Source organism: Homo sapiens, chromosome 10 (genome assembly GCF_000001405.40).
Source record: "Homo sapiens chromosome 10, GRCh38.p14 Primary Assembly".
Lineage (NCBI taxonomy): Eukaryota > Metazoa > Chordata > Mammalia > Primates > Hominidae > Homo > Homo sapiens.
Window position 1 is genome coordinate 102584256 of NC_000010.11, and position 15296 is coordinate 102599551.

General features: G+C 46.6%; 1 protein-coding gene and 1 pseudogene across 12 annotated transcripts in view, besides 1 other annotated feature; both read left to right on the plus strand.

The window, feature by feature from the left end:
* SUFU (SUFU negative regulator of hedgehog signaling) overlaps window positions 1-15296 on the plus strand; it is a 130717-nt gene that overhangs the window by 81437 nt on the left and 33984 nt on the right. For 8 of the 12 annotated variants that reach the window (XM_047425335.1, XM_011539863.4, XM_047425336.1 and 5 more), the window contains 5 exons: window positions 8327-8469; window positions 9381-9466; window positions 9738-9810; window positions 12882-13038; window positions 15178-15289. In XM_047425335.1, the coding sequence (XP_047281291.1) occupies window positions 8327-8469; window positions 9381-9466; window positions 9738-9810; window positions 12882-13038; window positions 15178-15289 (571 nt within the window). The remainder of the gene's footprint in view (window positions 1-8326; window positions 8470-9380; window positions 9467-9737; window positions 9811-12881; window positions 13039-15177; window positions 15290-15296) is intronic. The other 4 variants (XM_047425338.1, XM_011539860.4, NM_016169.4 and 1 more) reach the window with 1 other exon arrangement.
* On the plus strand, window positions 7269-7372 carry RNU6-43P (RNA, U6 small nuclear 43, pseudogene; annotated as a pseudogene).
* Window positions 12521-13497: an enhancer, noted in NCBI's record as "H3K27ac-H3K4me1 hESC enhancer chr10:104356533-104357509 (GRCh37/hg19 assembly coordinates)". NCBI's record gives its function as "activates a minimal SCP1, AML or CMV promoter by ChIP-STARR-seq in naive H9 embryonic stem cells {active_cell/tissue: H9 hESC(naive)}" and the evidence as "EXISTENCE:reporter gene assay evidence [ECO:0000049][PMID:30033119]".

The window sequence follows — 15296 nt, forward strand, 5'->3', positions numbered from 1 at the left end:
CCAAAACCAGCAGGCGATTTCAGCTGGTAACTGCACAAGAGTGGTAACTGGTAGCATGAATAGTGAAGCCACTTTTCTCTCTTTGGTTCTCTTTGTCTTTTTTTTAATTTAAGATGGGGTCTTACTATGTTGCCCAGGCTGGTTTTGAACTCCTGGGCTCAAGAGATCCTCTCACTGGGCCTCCCAAAATGCTAGGATTACAGGCATGAGCCACCATGCCCGGCCCAGTTTGTTCTCTCTCAGTCTTGGTGATTTTGTCTCAGCTCTATATGACTCTTTAAACCTTGAACAGCTCTTTGACCCTTGTTTATTTCATTTTTTAAACAATTTTAGGTAGGCAACAATATCAGTTAGAAATTAATAACATTTTGTTATATTATCCTGAAGTTACCACTTGAGGTAAGCAACGCTAATTTGCCATTAATTTTCCTTATTTAGTATAGTGATATGAAGTTGCCTTTTCAGAGTAAGTTTGTTTAGGTTAAAAAAAAAAGGCAAGTCAATTTTAGGGGGAAAAATACAGGTAAGTAATGGTACAGATGGTGCACAGATATGGCAAACATGCTGATGGGTGTTGTGGATGAGCCCAAAGTTTGGAAAGTGTTGGGCCATGCCCATCATCACTGACGTACTGTGAGACTGTGGGCAATCTCAAGCATCCTTTTCTCATTTGTAGAAAAGAACATGTTAGTAGGTGATTGTTCAGGTCATGTAGACATACACAGTGCTGTGATGTCTCAGCATTATGGGTCAGGTTTCTCCCAGGCCAGGCTGCTGTGCCTGGGGTGGTGGGAACAAGGAATTTAAAGGCTTGGCCTTGCTTCCCCTACTTTGCCTGTGCCTCAAGATTCCTTCCTTTTGCCTGCTATATTTTCTTTTTTAATAACAGATTTATTGACATACGATTCACATACCATGTAATCCACAGTTGTGAAACCATCACCATAAAAAAAGAACCTCATATTGGTCACTCCCTATTCCCTCCAACCATCACAGCCCTAGACAACCACTAATCTACTATCTGTTTCCATAGATTTGCCTATTCTGGACATTCCATATGGATGGAATCATATAAGGTCTATTATGACTGGCTTTTTTCACTTAGCATAATGTCTTTAAGGTTCATGTTATAGTATATATTAGTATTTTGTTCCTTTTTATTGCCAGATAATACTTGTAATTGCCATCTTTTTTGTTTTAAACATTCTAGTGGATATGAAGTGGTGGTGTCTCATTGTGGGTTTTCTGTTTTCTTTTCTTTTGTTTTTTGAGACAGGGTCTCACTCTGTCATCCAGGCTGGAATACTATGGTGCGACCAAAGCTCACTGCAGCCTCCACATCCCGGGCTCAAACAATCCTCCCACTTCAACCTCCCGAGTACCTGGGACTACAGGCTTGGGCCACCACACCCAGCTAATTTTTTGTTTGTTTGTTTGTTTTTTATAGAGATGGGGTTTTGCCATGGTTGCCCTGGCTGGTCTCAAACTCCTGGCCTCAAGCGATCCTCTCACCTTGGCCTCCCAACACTTTGGGAGGCCACTGCACTGGCCTCATTGTGGTTTTGATTTGCATTCCTCTGATGGTTAATGGCATTGAGGATCTTTTTATGTGCTTATTAGCTATTTGTATATCTTTTTTTTTTTTTTTTGACAGAGTCTCACTCTGTTGCCCAGGCTGGAAGGCAATGGCACGATCCTGGCTCACTGCAACCTCTGCCTTCCGGGTTCAAACAATTCTCCTGTCTCAACCTCCCTAGTAGCTGGGATTACAGGCTCATGCCACCACACCTGGCTAATATTTGTATTTTTAGTAGAGACGGGGTTTCACCATGTTGGCCAGGCTGGTCTTGAACTTCTGACCTCAGGTGATCTGCCCGCCTTGGCCTCCCAAAGTGCTGGGATTACAGGTGTGAGCCACCATGCCCGGCCAGCTATTTGTATGTCTTCTTTGGAGAAATATATTCAGATCCTTTGCTCATTTTTAAATTGAATTATTTATCTTTTATTATTGAGTTGTAAGAACTCTTTATATATTCTGGATACAAAATACTTAATATATGCTGGATACTTATTAGATATATGATTTGCAAATATTTTCTCTCATTCTCTGGGTTTTTTCTTTTAAAATGTGATTAAGCCTGGGCACGGTGGCTTACGCCTGTAATCCCAGCACTTTGGGAGGCCGAGGCGGGTGGATCATGAGGTCAGGAGATCGAGACCATCCTGGCTAACACGGTGAAACCCTGTCTCTACTAAAAATACTAAAAATTAGCCGGGCATGGTGGCGGGTGCCTGTAGTCCCAGCTACTCGGGAGGCTGAGGCAGGAGAATGGCCAGAACTCGGGAGGCGGAGCTTGCAGTGAGCCGAGATCACGCCACCGCACTCTAGCCTGGGCGACAGAGCGAGACTCCGTCTCAAAAAAAAAGAAATTGTGATTAAATATATGTAACATAAAATTTATCATTTTAACAATTTCTAAGTGTACAGTTCTGTGACATTATTAAGTACATTCACATTGTTTTGCAGACATTACCACCATCCATCTCTAGAAGTTTTTCATCTTCCCCAACTTAAACTCTGTACCCACTAAGCAATAACTCCCCACTCGCTTCTCCCCCAGCCTCTGACAACCACCATTCTATTTTCTGTCTCTATAAATTTGCCTACCCTAGGTACTTCATGTAAGTGAAATCATGCAGTATTTGTCCTTTTGTGTCTAGCTTATTTCACTTAACATAATATTATCAAGTTTCACCCATGTTTTAGCATTTGCCAGAATTTCTTTTTTATGGCTGAATAGTATTCCATTGTGTGTAAATACTACATTTTGTTAATCCATTCATCTCTTGATGGACATTTGGGTTGTTTCCACCTTCTGGCAATTGTGAATAATGCTGCTGTGAACATAGGTATACAAATATCTGTTTGAGACCATGCTTTCAGTTATTTTGGCTATATACCCAGATGTGAGCTTGCTGGATCATATGGTAATTCTGTGTTTAAATTTTTTTTGCAGAACCGCCGTACTGTTTTGCACAGCGGCTGCTTCATTTTATATTCCACCAGCAATGCACACGGATTCCAAATTCTTTGCATCCTCACCAACACTTGTGCACTTATTTTCTGTTTTCTTTTTTTTATTAATAGTCACCCTAATGGGTATAAAGTGATATCTCAAAAGTGATTTTGCTTTGCATTTCTTTTTACTTTCTTGATGGTATTGTTTACAGCACAAACAGTTTGTTTTGTTTTGAGACGAAGTCTTGGTCTTGTCACCCAGGCTGGAGTGCAGTAGCGTGATCTCGGCTCACTGCAACCTCCTCCTCCCGGGTTCAAGCAATTCTCCTGCCATAGCCTCCCGAGTAGCTGGGATTACAGGTGCCCACCACTACGCCCGGCAAATTTTTTTGTATTTTTAGTGGAGACGGGGTTTCACCATGTTGGCCAGGCTGGTCTTGAACTCCTGACCTCAGGTGATCTGCCCACCTCAGCCTCCCAAAGTGCTGGGATTACAGGCATGAGCCACTGCGCCCAGCCAGCACAAAAGGTTTTAATTTTGATGAAGTCTAATTTACCTATCCTTTGTTACTTATGCTTTTGATATTGTATGGAAGAAACCTTTGCCTAATCCAAGGTCAAAAGATTTACTCCAATGTTTGCTTCTAAAAGTTTTATAGTTTTAGCTATTACAGTTAGGTCTGTGATCCATTTTGAATTGACTTTTGTTTGTGATATAAGAAAGAGCTCCAACTTTATCCTTTTGCGTGTGAGTATCCAGTTCTTTTAGCAGCATTTGCTGAAAAGACTATTTCCTTTATCGAATTGTTTTGGCCCCCTTGTTGAAAATTAATGCCCACAGGCTGGGCGCAGTGGCTCACGCCTGTAATCCCAGCACTTTGGGAGGCCGAGGCACGCGGATCACGAGGTCAGGAGATCGAGACCCTGGCTAACATGGTGAAACCCCATCTCTACTAAAAATACAAAAAATTAGCTGGGCGTGGTGGCGGGCACCTGTAGTTCCAGCTACTCGGGAGGCTGAGGCAGGAGAACGGCGTGAACCTGGGAGGTGGAGTTGGCAGTGAGCCGAGATCGTGCCACTACACTCCAGCCTGGGCGACAGAGCAAGACTCTGTCTCAAAAAAAAAAAAAAAAGAAAAGTAAATTAATGCCCACAAATGTGAGAGTTTATTTCAGGCCTCTCAATTCTATTACATTGATCAAATGTCTGTCCTTATGCCAGTGCCGCACTGACTTGGTGACTATATCTTTGTAGCAAGTTTTGAAATCAGGAAAATTAAGACCTTCAACTTTGCTCGTCTTCTTTAAGAATGTTTTGGCTATTCTGGGTGTCTTGCATTTCCACGTGAAGTTTTGAATCCGTTTGTGAATTACTGCAAACAGCATACCTGGCATTTTCATAGGGATTGCACTGAACCCGTAGATGGATTTGGGGATACTGCCATCTCAACAACACTAAGTCTTCCGATCCATGAATGTTGGATATTTTTCCGTTTATGTAGGTCTTCTCGAATTTCTTTCAATGATGTTTTGTAGTTTTCAGAGTATAAGTTTTCATTTCCTTTGTTAAATGAAGCATTGTATTATATTTGATGCTACTGTGAAAGAATTGTTTTTCTTACTTTCATTTTTTATTTTGTTTATTTATTTATTTATTTATTTTTTTGAGACACAGTCTCACTCTGTTGCCCAGGCTGGAATGCAGTGATGTGATCATAGCTCACTGCAACCTTCAACTTCTGGGCTCAAGCCATCCTCCTGCTCCAGCCTCCCAGATAGCTGCAGCTACAGGTGTGCACTACCATGCCTGGCTAATTTGTGTGTGTGTGTGTATGGAGATGGGTGTTCTTGCTCTGTTGCCTAGGCTGGTCTCTAACTGCCAGGCTCAAGCAATCCTCCTACCTCGGCCTCTGAAAGTGCTGGGATTAGAGGCATGAGCCACCATGCATGGCCTTAGTTTTGTTTTTGGATTGTTCCTTGCTAGTATATACAAATACAAATAACTTTTGCATATTGTTTTTGTACCCTACAACCTTGCTGAACTTGTTTAATAGTTCTAGTAATTTTTAGCACATTCCTTAAGGTTTTCTGTATACAATATCATGCTATCCATGAATAGAGGCAGTTTTACTTCTTCCTTTCCAATCTGGAAGTATTTTCTTTCTTTCTTTTTTTTTTTTTTTTTTTTTGAGACAGTGTCTTACTCTGTCACCCAGGCTGGAATGCAGTGGCATGATCTCGGCTCACTGCAACCTCTGCCTCCCAGATTCAAGCAATCCTCCTGTCTTGGCCTCCCGAGTAGCTGGGACTACAGGTGCACGCCACCACGCCTGGCTAATTTTTGTATTTTTAGTAGAGACAGGGTTTCACCATATTGGTCAGGCTGGTCTCAGACTCCTGACCTCAGGTGGTCCACCTGCCTCGACCTCCCAAAGTGCTGGGATTAGAGGCGTGAGCCACCACACCTGGCCTTTTATTTTGTACTTCTTTTTCTTGCCTAATTGTCCTGGCTTGCACTCTAATACAGTGTTGAATAGAAGTGGTGAGAGTAAGCACCTCTGTCGTGTTCCTGATCGTAGAAGGAATTAGTTCAGTCACTTACCATTAATCAAGTATGATGTTAGCTGTGGGGTTTTTTGTTAATGTCCTTTATCAAGATGAGGAAGTTCCATCTATTCCAAATCTGAGTTTTTTTTTTTATCATGAAAAGGATCTTGTCAAATGCTTTTTCTGTGTCTATTGACATGATCATGTAGTAATTTTTATAATCTGTATTACATTGATTTTCTTGTGTATAACTAACCTTGCATTTCTGGGATAGATTCTACTTGGTCATTGTGTATAACCACCTCCCCCCCGACTTTTTCTTTTTTTTTTTCTTTTTTCTTTTTTTTTTTTTTTTGAGACAGAGTACAGAGTCTCACACTGTCACCCAGGCTAGAGTGCAGTGGCGCAATCTCTGCTCACTGCAACCTCCACCTCCCAGGTTCAAGTGATTCTCCTGCCTCAGCCTCCCGAGTAGCTGGGATTACAGGCGCCTTCTACCACGCCCTGCTAATTTTTTGTATTTTTAGTAGAGACGGGGTTTCACTTTGTTGGCCAGGCTAGTCTTGAACTCCTGACCTCGTGATCCGCGTGCCTCGGCCTCCCAAAGTGCTGGGATTACAGGCATGAGCCACCACGCCAGGCCTGTATAACCCTTTTTATATGTTGCTGGGTTCTGTTTGCTGGTATTTTGTTGAGGATTTTTGTTTGTATATGCATAAAGTATATTGGTCTATAGTTGTTTTTTTTCTTGTCTTACCTTTGCTTTTCATATCATGGTAATACTGGTTTCATAGAATGAATTAGAAATTATTTCTTTTATTTTTTGGAAGAGTTTGCGAAAAGTTGATATTAATTCTTCTCTAAATCTTTGGCAGAATTTACCAGTGGAGTCATCTGGTGGACCTGGACTGTTTGTATTGTGTATGTTGTTGGTGGGGGTTAATTACTTATTCATTCCTTTTACCTGTTGCATTGTTTCTTGCTTGCAGAACATGCAGGTTGCTTGTAGAAACACACTTACGTAAAAGGAGAGAGATTCTGGGAAGAGTGGGCCTAGCAGGAATTTGGAAATTTAGGGGTTTCTAGTTGGCTCTACCTGAAGCTGTGCCTTCTCCTCTCCCCTGTATTATCACATCTCAGATGAAGCAGTCTTCCTTCTCCTGCCTGAATGAACACTATTGAGGTTAGGACCAATAACTGAAGCCGTATCTTGGATGGAAAAGGTGTGTCTGTGTGTGTATGTGTGTGTTCTGCCTTACCTTAAATATTGATAAAAAGTGAAGAAAGATACCTCAACTGTTGAGATTCCGAGATCGTGAATGACAGACCATAGTGAACTCTGGAACAGCCATTTAAAGAATGAGATAGCTCTCCATATGCTGAGAAGCAGTGATCTCTGCTGGGTGCTGTGGCTCATACTTGTAATCCCCGCACTTTGGGAGGCCGAGGAGGGCGGATCACGAGGTCAGGAGATCGAGGCCATCCTGGCTAACACCGTGAAATCCCACCTCTACTAAAAATACAAAAAATTAGCCAGGTGTGGTGGCACATGCCAGTAATCCCAGCTACTCAGGAGGCTGAGGCAGGAGAATCGCTTGAACCCAGGAGGCGGAGGTTGCAGTGAGCAGAGATCGCGCCACTGCACTGCAGCCTGGCAACAGAGCGAGACTCCATCTCAAAAAAAAAAAAAAAAGGTGATCTCGTGCTCACTTCAGCAGCACATATACTAAAATTGGAACGATACAGAGAAGATTAGTATGGCCCCTGCGCAAGGATGACATGCAAATTCGTGAAGTGTTCCATATTAAAAAAAAAAAGGTGCTGTCTAAGATATATAATTAAGTGAAATCTGCAGAATAGTGTGCTTCCATTTGTGTAAGGACAAAACATGGAAGGGAGCCTGTGGATGCATAGGCTGGACATATAGAGCACCTTGGCACCCACGATGAGAGTCAGAGCTGGTGAGAGACTTAGTACCCTGTGGGGTTGTTTTCCCTTGTGGTTATGTGGCCTTAAACAAAACTCTCTCTAAAGTAACGTACCTGCTTGAAGTGCAGTGGTGAGCCTGTGTGTGAGGAGGCTATGCCCTCATGGCAACAGCTACCCTTGGCAGAATCTGAACATCTCAGAGACATGGCCTGAGGATCCTCATGAGTTGTCTCTGCCACGGTGTGGGAGGCACTATTTAGACCTCCATTTACTTGAAGCCTAGTGTTCCTCAGGAATTCCTACATCTGCCTGTGGGAAAATGGTGATAGATTTCAAAGGCTCTCCAAGGTTCGATGTTTCCTTCTGAGTGCCATTTCAGCAACATAGGAATTTCGGTCTGTTTCTCCAAGGTGAAGGGCTTTCATTGCCCTGTTGCCTCTCTGTGGACTTCTGGCCAGGTGGCCCTACAGAAAAGCACCTTATTCTTTCTTGGCAGATCCAGTCATGGCTCCTGCCTCCCACCATGAGTCGGGATATTGGGGAAGCGAAGCAGATGCCAGAAGTCTTTCTGGTTTCCCAGGCCGAAGGAGCTTTCACACTAATAGCCTGTCCTTTTCAAGTCTGACAGAACTGGCAAGCAGGAACAATTTAGGTTTTTGGAAATATCCACAAACTCTTTGCTTCCATCCGGAGTGAATGCTTCTCTTCCTTCACAGGGGCTACCCTAAGAGGCTGGGAAGCCTCCCAGCCTGGGCTAGTGAGATCCCAGCCCAGATTCCAGGCCTGGATCTGGGGCCTTGAACAATGAGGATCCTTGTATCTCTCCCACAGAGAACACCTTCTGCAGTGGGGACCATGTGTCCTGGCACAGCCCTTTGGATAACAGTGAGTCAAGAATTCAGCACATGCTGCTGACAGAGGACCCACAGATGCAGCCCGTGCAGACACCCTTTGGGGTAGTTACCTTCCTCCAGGTGAGGCACAGGTTGGACGCTGGCTCAAGCCTTCCTGTGGGAAGGGTCCTGGGAGGACAAGGAGGCTTGAGGAGGGGGAGTGAAGGGAGTGGGAGGTTTCCTTTGGCCTCGTCCTGATTTCTGTTTCCTCTGATGGTTTGTCAGGTAGATTCAGATGGTCTGATTTAACCTGCTGAGATGGGAGAGGGGAGAAAGGGAAGGGGGCATTTGGTTGGGAGAGAATGGCTGTAGCTGAGAGGGAGTAATGGGGTGGCGGGTATTCTTTGAACAGTGAAGACCCAGTCTCAGGAACAGGACTTTCCAGCGGGAAGCCAGCTCTGGGTCGTCCTTGCTCTTTGCCAGAAGCTGTGGGAACCTGCCCAGCTTTGACCAGTGCTTGTTTTTGGTCACGAAGTCTATGTGAAGGTTCCACTGATTCCCTTGATATTTACACAAAGGCCTATCCCCTAATAAGGAAGGGAGGAGTTTCTCTGCAGGCTGCTATGACCTATTGGTGGTGGTTCCAAGCCTGATAGGTCTCAAAGTCTCTTGTTTACATTCCCCATGATACCAGACTGGGTAGGAATGGCTCCCTGAACCTCCCCTACTTCCAGAGACATGGCCTGAGGACACATCTTGAGTTGCTCAGGCCTTGGTTTTCTCCTTTGTAGCTAAGAGCTAGACTTGGTGTCATCCAGACACAGCAAGGGCAAGGGTCAGGCCTCAGGGCCCACATGTGGACCCAGCCATTTCCCAGCCAGGCAGCCACTCCCTCCTAAGGGAATCATCCAATCTTGGCTGCACCAGCTCCTGAGCACAGATCCTGCCTGTGGTCTCCCAACTGGAGGTGACTCAGAGAGCCTGGGTAGCTGACCTTCTTGGGGTGGGGGGTGGCCATTAACACACAATGGGCTTTCTATCCTGGGCCTCAGATCGTTGGTGTCTGCACTGAAGAGCTACACTCAGCCCAGCAGTGGAACGGGCAGGGCATCCTGGAGCTGCTGCGGACAGTGCCTATGTGAGTACCCATGCAAGGTGGGAGCGCGGCTCCCTGGGCCTGGGGGTGGGAGTCCCTCCACTACCCTCCATGTGGGGCTCCCTCTTGCGTTGTTATTTCAGACCCTGGTTTTTCACATCAGGGCTTCCTGACGACTCACTCCCTGACAGTCCCTGACCACGAACTATTCCCCTGTGTCCTAGGCCTGGGGCAGCAAACAGGGCAGGCTGTAGGCCCAGCCCATCAGCCCCAGACCCTCAGTTACCATTGTATCCCCTTTCCTTGTCCACAGTGCTGGCGGCCCCTGGCTGATAACTGACATGCGGAGGGGAGAGACCATATTTGAGATCGATCCACACCTGCAAGTATGTCTTGAGTGAGGAAAACCTTTCTAGCACCCTGTGCCTAGGCCTCTTCCAAATAACACTGGCTTTCATCCTGGGAAAACAGAGGACCTTTATGTGTGAGTGAGTAGAAATATGGCATCACTTGGAACTTGTCCCCTGAATTCTGCAGAGCACGTAGGGAGCAGAGGTTTCAGCCCAGGAAAGCTAGTCCTCAGACATATGTATTTTGGCATTTTAAAAGGATATTTTTATTGTATGTAAATTATATATTGGCTTAAAAAATTAGATTGCCAGCAATAAAAGATAAGTGTAGTGGATATTGCTTGCTTGCCCAGTATTCATTCTCCTGCCTCCCAGACTTTCTTTTAGGGAGCCACCACGGCCACCACCGCCCTGTACCAGACAGTAGTGTAGGTGATACTGACTCCATGGCTCAGCTGCAGGAGTGAGGGCTGATTGGTCTAATGGTCCTATCCCCATTTTCGCCACATTTTCTATCTTGGACAGTCAGATGCAGAGCTCCTAGCCTGGAAAGATTGGCACCTTAGACACACAGGCTGGCAGCTGCCCACTCCCTGTGGCCCACCTGGACATTGTTTCAGTGTCATCTTTGCTGTTTTAGAAGCATTCCTTTGTCATGCAGGTAAAGTTTGAAAGCCACAAGAACGTAACTGCCTTTTCTTTTTTTGAGACGGAGTTTCGCTCTTCTCACCCAGCCTGGAGTGCAGTGGCACAATCTCGGCTTACTGCAGCCTCCGCCTCCCAGGGTCAAGCAGTTCTCCTGCCTCAGCCTCCCGAGTAGCTGAGATTACAGGCGCCCACCACCACGCCCAGATAATTTTTTGTATTTTTAGTAGAGACAGGGTTTCACCATGTTGGCCAGGCTGGTCTCGAACTCTTGACCTCAGATGATCCGCCCGCCTCGGCCTCCCAAAGTGCTGGGATTACAGGTTTGAGCTAGTGCGCCTGGCCCATAACTGCCTTTCTTATGGGCTTCTCTTGAAGCAGGAGCCACAGACAGCTAATAATGTTACCTGCCTGGTGTCTGGCTCCTTCTACTCCCCTGACCAAATGCAGGTCATTGCCATCTCTAAACCTGCCATGCTTCTGTAAAATATCTGGTAGGCCACAGGCAGTTGCCGGGAGTTCCATGTGTTAGAGCAAGAGAAAGGTGGCAGATGGACATGTAGCCAGCAGCCCCTGAGTTCTTCACTGTAGACTTGTGAGTTCTTGGGCATAAATCCTCTTCATTCACAGATGATGCTCCTCTGTTTTCCTAGTGCCTTTAACACTGAACATTTCAAACTGCTGCCAGGATCCTCTGTTCTCTCTGCTTTAAACTTGGTTTCCTTGTATCTTCTGCATATGCAAGAACCAGGAACCAGGAAGGCTATCTTTCCCTAAGCCCTTGTTCTGTAGCCACACTGGGATCCAGCATGGGGCACTGTGGGCCGTTGTTTGGCCCCTGTCATAAGTGCCAAGTACTAAGAAAGAACCTGGTCCTTTGCACTAGTAGGGTAAACAGCTGTCCTTCCATGCCAAGGGCTGTTCTTCCTAGTCTGCAGGATCCCCTGAGAGCAGCCCACAGGACCCGGAGCACCTAGTGGTCTTTGAAAGCAAGCCAGGGTCCCACAGGAACAAAGGACAGCTTTCTTTCCTGGTGGCTCTGTGCACCAAGTGTGAACTCCTCTGTATTCACTGTGCCTTTCTGGGGCCTGCTTGCTATCAGTCTCTTTAGAGCTGGCATATATTCCTGTGATTCAAGCTCTACACTAACCAGCTGTGTGCCCAAATAAGTCCCTCGCCTTCTGGGTCTTAACTTTTTCTTTTTACTTATAAAGTAAATAGCCCAGACAAGTTGAGCCAAGAATTGTCTGTCTGCAACTCTTTACCTAAGTGAGGGACCCCAGGGCAGCCAGTGCAGAGGAAAAAGCTCAGACTATCCCCTGAGCACACCAGGGTATACATGCTCCCTGCCCAGAGTACACAGAGCGCTTCCCTGCTTAGCCTCTTCCTGCTCGGAACCCACAGCTTTGCCCAGGCCAGCATTAGCACTTGAAAGGAGGAGATGACTGATGGGAAGGAGGCGTCTGGGGCAGAGCCACTTGCTGACTGGTCCCAGGAAATAAGGACAGTACCTGTACTTCTCCCACATGGGGCTTCTGGGCTGATCAGCAGGCCAGTGTGGTACCTGTGGAGCCGGGAAGCACAGATTATTGTTGAGATGCTCAGTCACAAGCTTGATTTGGCCCACATGGACATAGAGCCTTCCAGATGACTTTTAATTCAAGGTCCAGCATCAATGAACTGTGTTTTACCAGAAAATCCAGGGATGTTTTGAGTACAACTCTTCCTTGAAGCCATTTGGAGAGTGTTTGTACTCAGCAGTACCAAGGCCTGCACAAAGGCAGGGTCTCGATGGGGAGAGAAGGGTGTCTGCAGATAGTCACTGCACTCTAGGCCCCCATTTCAGTCTAAGAAATGGGAAGGAATCTCCATCCAGAGTCCTTTGCTAAACAAGGGAACCAATGCATCTAGGGAAGTCCAGCCTTTGTTCTCCAGTGGCTCTTCCCTGTGTGACCACACCCTCTAGCTGTTAGAAGGGGAAACTGCAGGTGTGGCCTGTTGCCTGTGGCAGGCTTCCACCCTGTTTTCTATAGCAGTGACTGGGAGGTTCTGCCTGAAGATCGGGAGGAGAGGAAGGATCACACCTCTCCTCAGAGAAGTAGGCTCTCTCATGGCCACATCAGCCCCACCAGCCAGCGTGGCGGGGACAGGTTTGGGGCTCTGAAACAGGTAGAGGCCATTGTGCTGGAAGGCTGATGGTAGAAGAGATGTTTCCCTTGGGATTTGCATTCCTCCTGGCTTCCCCTAATCCCTGGTTCCCCTGGAGGAGTCCAGGAGCTGGCAGAGACCATCATGCATTGGTAACCAGGGCAGAACAAGGTCAGAGATCCTGCTCTCCAGCATTTGTCCCATGCTCAGCACCACAAGGGCTCAGTAAATACTGTAAGAGCAGTGGCTGAAAGGGTGGTCACCTTGGGTCACCAGTTCTCTGAAAGAACTCTGGCTCTTTGGTTCTTTTCAAGCAGGAGAGAGTTGACAAAGGCATCGAGACAGATGGCTCCAACCTGAGTGGTGTCAGTGCCAAGTGTGCCTGGGATGACCTGAGCCGGCCCCCCGAGGATGACGAGGACAGCCGGAGCATCTGCATCGGCACACAGCCCCGGCGACTCTCTGGCAAAGGTGGGAGCCATCACTCAGCATTCCACCAGCCTTCCTCCTTCCTTTTCCCCAGGGCCTGGTTTCCAGTCTCTCTAGGATGGGTCTCTAACAAAAACAACCCATTCAATAGTTTATTTCCTGGCATGATTTAAACAGCAAGTGAAGTCTTCCAGCAGGGCGGAATTAAGGGAGCTTTATTGGCCCATTCCTAGTTGTGTTTCCTGTGTGTATTTCAAATGCATCACCAGCAGGCACCGTTGTGTTTTAGATATGCCCTTTGCAATCTGAGGTCATGGAGGTGAGTGGAAGCCTCAGAACAGTTACAGGAAAAGTCCATAGTCCACCCAAGTGCAAGAGAAAAGTGTCGGCCACCCACGGAATTGACACAGGGCCCAGCTCTGGCCTGAAGGCCATGCCAGATCCAAGGATCACTCTGGCCTCGGGCCCTCCCAGGCCTTCAACAAATGAGGCCTGAGTGTGAGGCTGGCTTGCAAATTGCCCACCTCCTGTCATATAGATACAGGGTTAGGGGCTGTGGGCAGGGCCTCTGGACCCACCGTGTTCCGGATGGGGTCTTTGGGAAGGAGGATGTGGCTGTCCTGTTGGAATCTCCCTGTGCTGATCTTGGCTACAGAAACAGTTGTGGTTTTTAGTAGAGGGCGTCCCCAGCTAACTGCAAAGGAGAAGCAGCCACTTACATATACATGTGTTGACAGCTTCTTTGTCTACTTCCTTTCTTCATTCTTCCATCTTTTCTTTTTTTGAAGAATAAGATGTCTACAGCCCTGAATAAAATCCTTACATATATGATAACACTTATAAAAGGTTTTTGTTCGTTCTGTAAAGGACAAACTTAAACTCCTAGTGCAAATATTTGAGCCCTTTCTTTTTTTTTTTCTTTGAAACAGGGGTCTCTGTTGCCCAGGCTGGAGTACAGTGGGTTGATCTTGGCTCACTGCAACCTCTGCTTCCCAGGCTGAAGTGATTCTCCAGCCTCAGCATCCCAAGTAGCTGGGACTACAGGCGTGAGCCACCAACGCCCAGCTAATTTTTGTATTTTTTTGTAGAGTCAGGGCTTCGCTGTGTTGCCCACGCTGGTCTTAAACTCCTGAGCTCAAAACAATCCACCCGCCTCAGCCTCCCGAAGTGCTGGGATTACAGATGTGAGCCACCGCACCCGGCCAAGCCCTTTCTTTCCTTCCTGTTTGTTCTAATGGCATGCCAAGCCTATTGGAGGCTCAAAGAGAGGGTATACAGTTATTGGAATCATTTGGTTGCTTTTGACAAAAGAGGTGATTTAAAGAGGGAGTCATAGTCTTGTCTAAAATTTCAGTCATTACTGGCTATTTTTAAAAATTGTAAAAGTAATCCATTCCACTGTAACAAGTCAAATAGTTAGAAAAGTTAGTAATCATCTCCTTCCCACTCTAAGGCCACTCTTTGAGCAACTAATTTTAATTTGCTTTTTTGTATCTGTTTACAGTTTGCAGAGGTAAATTTAGATCCAAATCTCAATACAGGGGACCAGACTAGTAAGCTTCATCCCAAAGACCAGCAAAGCACCTTACAAAGAAATAATCCCACCAAGGGAACTCTTTCACTTCCTGGCCCTTGCCTCTCCATGGAGAGGCAGAGTTTCCTGGGATAGACCAAGGTGGAGAGATGATCTTAGCATCTCACTGACTTGAATGCAAGGGGAAGGAGTGGCGGGACCAGATGCTAGTTGACTACCCAGAACCCAGAAAGGTGTGTTAGAGGCACCTGCCCATTCATGGCAGGGTGCTTGCAGCCTTAACTCACATCCATTTCAGTGGGCAGAATCCCCAGTAGTCAGTCACTGTGTGGAGCCATGTTAAGGGTAAACCTCGGGCCTGTGACACAGGAAAGAAAAGGATGGTGGAGAGCGCTCTTCTGAACTCTAGAGGCTGCCCCTGGCTTCTACAAGAATGGTACTCTTCCAACCCAGAGCTTCTTAAGAGCGCGGTTGTCCCCTCGCAATCTGTACTCACTCAGCGCTTACATCTGGATGCGTAGAGTGGGCTCAGGACTGGCCAGCGTGGTAGTTTTTCTTAGCACCTCTGCTGAGCCAGGTTTCAAGAGCGGGGTGAGAATTGCTGGGAGCCCACTGGGCCACTGGGCAACTTAGTGGTGTCGTTGCAGACACAGAGCAGATCCGGGAGACCCTGAGGAGAGGACTCGAGATCAACAGCAAACCTGTCCTTCCACCAATCAACCCTCAGCGGCAGAATGGCCTCGCCCACGACCGGGCCCCGTAAGTT